Below are 8426 nucleotides of genomic sequence, written 5' to 3' on the forward strand. Positions count from 1 at the left end.
GACAGGCAGGGTCCCAGGCTGGGCCACACGCGGCACCTGCAGAGACGGCCCAGTGTCACTGTGATGAGCGACACACTGGCTCCCACGCGTGGATGGTGCCGTGAAACCTCGAAGGTGCCCAGTAGACAAGTAGAGTCTGCCTCCATATCATCGAATGGGGAGCTTAGCGGAAGGTTCTGGAACCTGTGGAGTGTGGTGATGGATGTGGCAGGTGGCGTTTGAAGCTGTCCACAGGCAGCCATTTGCAGTGTAGATGCTGTGTTCCTGAAATGCTTAAAAGCCCAGCGTCCAAGAGTGGAAAGACAGACCTACATGTAACGGAGGGAGCGTGTTCCCAGAAAGCCAGAATTCTTAGAAAGCCTCTCATTCTGGGCTGGCAGGCAGCTCCAGCTCCAGGCCCCCGGGGAGGCAAAGGAGCTCCTCCCTCCGCATGCGGAACCCACCCGGCCCTTCCTTCCTTACCCCCTGCATGGCAAGCATCCCACACCGACGGTGGAAACACACGTGTGCACGCAGAGAAAAACCCTCCCGGGGCAGGCACCAACACGCAGGCTGTGCTCATTCTGGGTGTGAGATGACGGGTGGATTTTATTTTCTTCTCTAACTGGTTCTACTTGCCTTCCTCCAATTTTCTGTGTGTGTATGTATGTGTGTGTATTATACATTATTCGTAAAACTAGTAAATCACACATATTCTAAAAGAAATGAAATGCTGTGTGTCCAGCTGGTTTCTTTCAGTCTCTTTGATTGGCAGCGCCTGTGATCCTGTGATGGGCTCGGAGGACAGGGACACAATTGTTTTCCCTGGAAGCTGACGAGAGGAAACTGCTGGGGAGGGTGAAATGGGTGGTGCTGACCTGGTAGAAACTCCACGGGCCTCAAAGCGGAACCTTTCCCGAATTAACCAGCCTGTCTGGCCTGTCTTTGGCAGCTCAAGCAGGAAGCCAGGACCAGGGAGCCCTGTCCACGGGAGAAGCAGCGGCTGGTGCGGATGCATGCCATCTGCCCCAGAGACGACAGCGACTGCAGCCTCGTCAGCTCCACAGAGGTACGGCCGCTCCTCCCGCCTCCCTCACTGCCTTGACCCTCTGGGCCAGCCCAGGGGCCTCTCTGTCAGGACGAAAGTGAGCCTCCTTCCACCCTGTCCCCACAGGGAAGAGGTTGGTACGATTGTGAGAGTTTTATTTTATTTTATTTTTTGAGACAGAGTCTCCTCTGTCACCCAGGCTGGAGTGCAGTGATGTGATTTCGGCTCACTGCAACCTCCACCTCCCAGGTTCAAGCGATTCTCTTGCCTCAGCCACCCAAGTAGCTGCATTACAGACACCTGCCACCATGCCCAGCTAATTTTTGTGTTTTTAGTAGAGAGGGTTTCAACATGTTGGCCAGGCTGGTCTTGAACTCCTGACCTCAAATGATCTGCCAGCCTCAGCCTCCCAAAGTGCTGGGATTACAGGCATGAGCCACCGCACCTGGCCCTATTGCGAGAGTTTTAAACATCAGAGGTTGATTCTGTCACAGTCCTGGAGCCCAGACATCCAAAGTCAAAGTGCTGACAGGGTACCCGTCTGGAAATCCTATTCCCAAAGAAGGTCACATTCACAGCTTGCAGGGTGGACATGAGTTTCCAGGGGAACCGATTCAACCTGGCACAGACAGTCCCCAGACATGAGTTTCCAGGGGATTCAACCTGGCACAGACAGTCCCCAGACATGAGTTTCCAGGGGACCCAATTCGACCTGGCACAGACAGTCCCCAGACATGAGTTTCCAGGGGACCCGATTCGACCTGGCACAGACAGTCCCCAGACATGAGTTTCCAGGGGACCCGATTCAACCTGGCACACATGGTCCCTGGGATGCCGGCCTCACTGTGGTTTCTGGAGCCTCAGGACCCTGGCATCTGTCCTCACCCTTTGGCAAAGTAAAGAGGTGGTCCCACCATAGTGGGCATGTGGCATGAGGATGCTGGGGGTCAAAGCCCCAGTGCCACAGGATGCCGGGAGCCGGGAGGGAGGGAGGGTGAGAGGCGGGCGAGGCTGACATCCCTTTGCCATGCCTTGGGGTGGACCTGGTGTTTCCTTCCTGGACCATCCCATCAGTGGCCCAAGAGCAGCAGGCCCAGGCTCACCTGCCCCCTGGCCACTCAGAGAGCTGGGGGAGGCCGGGATCTTCCCCAGAACACTGAGTGCACACACGGGGAAGATTTCACAGTCGGTGCTGGGCCTCCCTGGGCCAGGACAGTCCAAACCTTCAACTGAATCGACTCTCGCATCTGCCTTAACGCCCTCTGTGCCCCCATTCCCCACAGGACAGAGGCCAGCCGTGTTTCCCTTCCCCAGGGGTGGATTGGGTCAGGGAGGGAAGGGACCTCAGGTGCTCAGAACTGGCTCGCCAGAACACACCATCCTCATTCACCAGCCTCGTGGGCAACTGACCGATCAGCTGCCCTCCAGCCACTCTCCTCCTGCCCCGGCTTTCTAATCTGGCTGCTCTAGGGGGACTGCCTCCTACTTCATGGGCTCTCTGCGTGCCACTGCTCTGTTGCTCTCTCTGTCTGGAATGTGCCCCCTGCCCCCAACACACACACACTCCACCTCACTCCTCTGTCCATGCCACTTCCTCCAGAGAGTCCGCCCTGGCCTCCCTGCCCTGCCCATGTCGCCCACAGCCCTGGAATGCCTCACTCCACCTCACTGGTCCACGGGTGCCCGTTGGTTCCCCCACCCCAAGGACAGTCCCTGTCCTCAGATGTACATCTGACACTGTCAAAGGACCTGGCACATAGTAGCTACTCCAGGAATACTTATTAGTGAAAGAAGGGGCGGGATTCAGACCTACCCCACACATCTGGTGGCCTCAGCGCCTCGCACGTCACATTTGTCAGTGTGCACTCTGAGTGCGGCCTCCCCTCCCTAGTCACTAACTCAACCTCTCTGGGCCTCAGTTGCTTTGTGCATTAGTTCGTTCTCATGCTGGTGATACCCACATACCTGAGACTGGGTAATTTACAAAGAAAGAAGTTTAATTGACTCACAGTTCACAGTTCAGCATGGCTGGGGAGGCCTCAGGAAACTTACAATCATGGCAGAAGGCACCTCTTCGCAGAGCGGCAGGAGAGAGAATGAGTGCTCAGCAAAGGGGGAAGCCCTTTATAAAACCATCAGATCTTGTGAGAACTCAGTCACTCTCACGAGAACAGCATGGGGGAAACGGACCCCATGATTCAGTTATCTCCACCTGGTCCCACCTTTGACATGTGGGGATTATTACAATTCAAGGCGAGATTTGAGTGGGAACACACGGCCAAACTATATCACTTTACATGTAAAATGGGACAGCAGTGCCACCTTACAGATTTATCGTGAGAACTAAGCCAAGCAGCTAATAGAGCCTGACATACAGCATGTGTCAGTGCTGTGTGCTAATTGCATGTGACCCCAGTGTCTGGCATACAGCAGGTGCTCAGCGCATGTGACCCCATGTGTGTCCTTCTTTCCCCTCCTGCCTCCTCTCCAGTCAGTTCTCACTGTGGCTCTCTCTACACCGTGGGGGAGCAAGGGAGGAGTCTCAGGGTGTCCTCGTGCGTGCCCCACTGACTTCTGCCCTCCCTCCTCCAGTCTCAGCTCTTGTCGGACCTGAGTGCCACGTCCAGCCGCGAGCTGGTGGACAGCTTCCGCTCCAGCAGCCCCGCGCCCCCCAGCCAGCAGTCCCTGTACAAGCGGGTGGCCGAGGACTTCGGGGAAGAACCCTGGTCTTTCAGGTAGAGCACTGGGGTCCTTCCTGGCACTGGGGTGGCACTGGGGTCCTTCCTGGCAACTCACCAGAGACACCAACCTAGACCTCAGGGCATCTGGGTATTGCAGGCAGCAGCTCCTGCCCTCGAAGCCCCAGAGCTGGCAGGTGCTGGGGGCCAGTGCTTGGGGCGTGGGGACTCAGAGGGAGCAGGTGATGCAGTTTGAGCCTGCTGCTGCTTATGCTTTGCAGCAGCTGCCTGGAGATCCCGGAGGGAGACCCGGGAGCCCTGCCGGGAGCTAAGGCAGGCGACCCACACCTGGATTATGAGCTCCTAGACACGGCAGGTGAGCACGCCCAACCCTGAACCTCCACAGCAGTCCACCTCCCCTGGGCAGAGCAGGGAGCTGATGAGAAAGCCGGGGCCTCTCTCCAGGGAAAGGGCAGATAGAAGCAGAGCTCAACTTCTGCCCTGGGCCTTGACCTTGGCCTCGACCTTGCACTTTGGGAAAGTCCCGCCTGCCAGCCAGCGTAAGCCAAAGGCCGGCTGCGCTCTGTCTGCTGGTGTCCTTGTGTTTTTCCCTAGAGCCAGGGGAGTTGTGTCTGATCCACGCCCTGCTCAGCACCCAGCCCCCTGCTCTGATCTGTAACGCTTGGGCTTCCCAGTGGTTTCAGAAGGCAGCAGGCAGGGTGGCTTAGTGGTGCCAGGCTGAGGCGAGGCACAGCGTGACATCTACCTGCGGGGAGCATCTCTCCTCTCAGGCGCTGGCCCTGAGGCCTCGCGCTTCTCCTGTAGCTCATTTCTGTTTGTGATTGGACCGGCCCTCTCTGCTTCCCAAGTCCATGGGCCCGTCATGGGTGGGTGCCTTAATCCTTTCCACCTCGGCGCGACCGGCTCCCAGCCTTGGGCCTTGCACACAGTAGGTGCTTTGCTCCCCATTTGGAATTCACCCCATGGCCACCAGGGGGCGCAAGTGCCCTGCGCTGCCCCTGTGCCTTCTGTGGGTCGCAGAATCAGAAATCTTCATCTTTGGGGACTCATACACGTTTTTATTTATAATCGTGATAAATCGAGAGAGACCACCCAAGGCATATCTAAATTAGATGTGAGATGAGAAGAGGGGCTTATTCCTCTTTATTTTTCCTCTGTGAGGATTCTGCGTAATGCCCTGGTTGCATATACTTTTAGTGGAATTGACCTCAAATACATCCAGAGTACACAGCTCATTTCATTGGCTTTGAATGTGATCCCAATGGGTTTTTGCCTGTGAGCCAGGCCTAGGGAACTCTCAGGTCTCTGCTGGCCCTGGCTCTGCTGTGTGGTTCACAGAGTGAGACTTGCAGCCGTCGACCCTGGCAGGCTGCTCCCTGGTTCGGGGGCTCACAGGCTGTACAGTAAAATGCTAGAGCTTGGGAGACCCTGGGGAGCCTCTAGTCCTAGGATTGACAACTCAGAGACCTGCCACCACCAGCTGGGAAGCAGAGGAGTCTGGGGTAAGGAGCAGGCAGCTGCTGGCCAGTGCCAGTGATTGCGGCCACACAGAAATGCAGGCCTGTGTGGAAATGCAGGCCAGTGTGGAAATGCAGGCCAGTGTGGAAATGCCGTGTAGTACAGTAGTGCAGGTCTGGGTAGAAATGCAGGTCCATGTTTGGGAGGTCAAGGTGGGCGGATCATGAGCTCAAGAGATCGAGACCATCTTGGCCAACATGGTGAAACCTCGTCTCTACTAAAAATACAAAAGTCAGCTGGGCATGGTGGCACACACCTGTAGTCCCAGTTAGTCAGGAGGCTGAGGCAGGAGAATCACTTGAACCTGGGAGGTGGAGGTTGCAGTGAGCCAAGATCGCACCACTGCACTCCAGCCTGGCGACAGAGCGAGACTCAGTCTCAACAACAATAACAACAACAACAAAAGAAATACAGATCCATGTAGAAAGGCAGGCCAGGGCCGGGTGTGGTGGCTCATGCCTGTAATCCCAGCACTTTGGGAGGCCAAAGTGGGTGGATCATGAGGTCAGGAGTTCGAGACCAGCCTGGTCAACATGGTGAACTCCCGTATCTACTAAAAATACAAAAATTATCTGGGCGTGGTGGCACATGCCTCTAGTCCCAGCTACTCAGGAGGCTGAGGCAGAAGAATTGCTTGAACCCGGGAGGCGGAGGTTGCAGTGAGCTGAGATCACGGCACTGTACTCCAGCCTGGGCGACAGAGTGAGACTCTGTCTCAAAAAAAAAAAAAAGAAAGAAAGAAAGAAAGAAAGACAGGCCAGTGCAGTGCAGGCCCACGCAGACATGGAGGTCAATGCAGTAATGCAGGCCAGTCCTGAAATGCAGGTCCATGCAGAAATACAGGTCAGTGCGGAAATGCAGCCCCAGGGTTACAGCAGATATTTTTTCAAGTGAAGCCAGAAATCCAGATTTTAGGTGAAACCTCCCTGTCTTTCAAATGTTGGCAACTCATTCAAATATCACAAAATAGCATGTGGTGGTCAGACCCTCCCAGTTGCAGCTCCTCACTAGTTACAGTGATTTTAGGAAAGATGAAATCAAGGTCCCAAGCATTGAGGAAGGGGTGGAGGAAGAGAAAGTTCAGCCTCAGCACAAAGGATGGAACAGGCAGTGGGGCCTGAGGCTGAGGGAGAAGGGGCTGAGGTTACAGGAGGTTACAGGACGCCCCATCAGCAGTGGGGTGACCAAGATCTGTGAAGAAGGGGCTGAGGTTACAGGAGGTTACAGGACGCCCCATCAGCAGTGGGGTGACCAAGATCTGTGAGCTCTTGGCTTCCTCCCAGACCTTCCGCAGCTGGAAAGCAGCCTGCAGCCAGTCTCCCCTGGAAGGCTTGATGTCTCGGAGAGGTAAGCAGCAGGTGGGAATCCTCCGAGGCTGGCTGGGGAACCAGGGCCAGGGAGTGGCAGAGCAGAGGGTGAGTGTCCTATTACCAATGGGAGGCAACAGCCTTTCCAAGCACATGGGGCCATGGAGGGGGAGGAGAATTCCAGAACACTGGGGCCAGAGGGAAGCAATGGGGAGGTGGCCTTGCCGGCTCTCCTGCTCTGGGCAGTGCACAAGCCGGTCGTCTCCCGGCCTGCAGCGGCGTCCTCATGCGGCGGAGGCCAGCCCGCAGGATCCTGAGCCAGGTCACCATGCTGGCGTTCCAGGGGGATGCATTGCTGGAGCAGATCAGCGTCATCGGCGGGAACCTCACGGGCATCTTCATCCACCGGGTCACCCCGGGCTCGGCGGCGGACCAGATGGCCTTGCGCCCGGGCACCCAGATTGTGATGGTGAGCCGTGCGAGGCCCCTCCTGTCCCCCGGGCTCCTCATGGGGACAGTGGCAGCGGGTGGGGTGACCCAGGCAGACTTCACCTCCCCCAGACGATGCAGATCCACTCTGGGCTGGGCCTCTGCTCTTTCCTGGGCTGACGTAAAGCGTTCTGCTCATTTATAGATGAGAGTCGTGCCGTGCAGAACCCAGCATGTCACCCGTGGTGCTGCTGCCATGCGGCGCTTCTGACCAGGGGTCTTTGCATGAGGCCCCTTGACAGGGCTGCTCTGGGTGGTCACTTTGGGTGTGTACAGTAAAATACACGTGACATAAAATTCACTATTTTAACCACTGGGGCATTTCTTTTCTTTCTTTTTTTTTGTTTGTTGTTTTGAAACAGGGTCTCACTCTGTCACCCAGGCTAGAGTGCTGCGGTGCGATCACAGCTCACTGCAGCCTCGACCTCCCCAGGCTCGATTGATCCTCCCACCTCAGCCTCTTAAGTAGCTGGGACCAGACCACAAGCATGCGCTACCGTGCCCGGCTAATTTGGGGACATTTTCTAAAACTTTTTTTTGTTGTTGTTACGAAACGCACAAAACTGCTGAGAAGATAAATGGACACAAATATACAACCTGGCCAGGTGTGGTGGCTCACGCCTGTAATCCCAGCAGAAGGCTGAGGCAGGCAGATCACTTGAGGTCAGAAGTTCAAGACCAGCCTGGCCAACACGGCGAAACCCCGTCTCTACTAAAAATGCAAAAATTAGCCAGGTGTGGTGGTGGGCGCCTGCATGGTCAGGGGGTGACTTTGATGTGGCCTAAAAGCAGAATTATTAAACTTTAGGAAAAAAAAAAACTTCTGGGCACAGTGGTACATGCCTGTAGTCCTAGCTACTCAGATGCCTGAGCCCAGGAGATTGAGGCTGCAATGAGCTAAGATTGCACCACTGCACTCGAGCCTGGGTGACAGAGCAAAGCCTTGTCTCAAAAAAAAAAAAAAAAAAAAGAAAAGAAAAAAAAAGGCCAGGCACGGTGGCTTATGCCTGTAATCCCAGCACTTTGGGAGGCTGGAGCAGGCAGATCACCTGAGGTTAGGAGTTTGAGACCAGCCTGGACAACATGGTGAAACCCCGTTTCTACTAAAAATACAAAAAAAAAAAAAAAATAGCTGGTATCTATAATCCCAGCTACTCAGGAGGCTGAGGCAGGAGAATCACTTGAACCTGGGAGGCGGAGGTTGCAGTGAGCTGAGATGGTGCCACTGCACTCCAGCCTGGGTGACAGAGTGAGACTCGGTCTCAAAAAAGAAAAAAAGAAAAGAAAAAGGAAAGCACAGTGCTTTCTTAATATGAAAAAAATTTTAAACCAAGAAATGTGCAAGATGGGCTTCACCTCATTCCAGAGGCTCACCCTGCGGCCTCC

General features: G+C 55.3%; 1 protein-coding gene across 19 annotated transcripts in view; it reads left to right on the forward strand.

The window, feature by feature from the left end:
- Positions 1-8426, forward strand: part of CARD14 (caspase recruitment domain family member 14) — a 39302-nt gene that overhangs the window by 21542 nt on the left and 9334 nt on the right. For 16 of the 19 annotated variants that reach the window (NR_047566.2, XM_047436713.1, XM_047436719.1 and 13 more), the window contains 5 exons: positions 932-1048; positions 3620-3762; positions 3987-4081; positions 6528-6591; positions 6828-7020. Coding sequence is in view for 18 of the 19 variants with exons in the window: in XM_047436713.1 (XP_047292669.1) it covers positions 932-1048; positions 3620-3762; positions 3987-4081; positions 6528-6591; positions 6828-7020 (612 nt within the window). In the remaining variant the exon portion in view is untranslated. Of the gene's footprint in view, positions 1-931; positions 1049-3619; positions 3763-3986; positions 4082-6527; positions 6592-6827; positions 7354-8426 lie in introns of those variants that run through there. The other 3 variants (XM_047436718.1, NM_052819.3, XM_047436723.1) reach the window with 3 other exon arrangements.

This window comes from Homo sapiens, chromosome 17 (genome assembly GCF_000001405.40).
Source record: "Homo sapiens chromosome 17, GRCh38.p14 Primary Assembly".
Taxonomy (NCBI): Eukaryota; Metazoa; Chordata; class Mammalia; order Primates; family Hominidae; genus Homo; species Homo sapiens.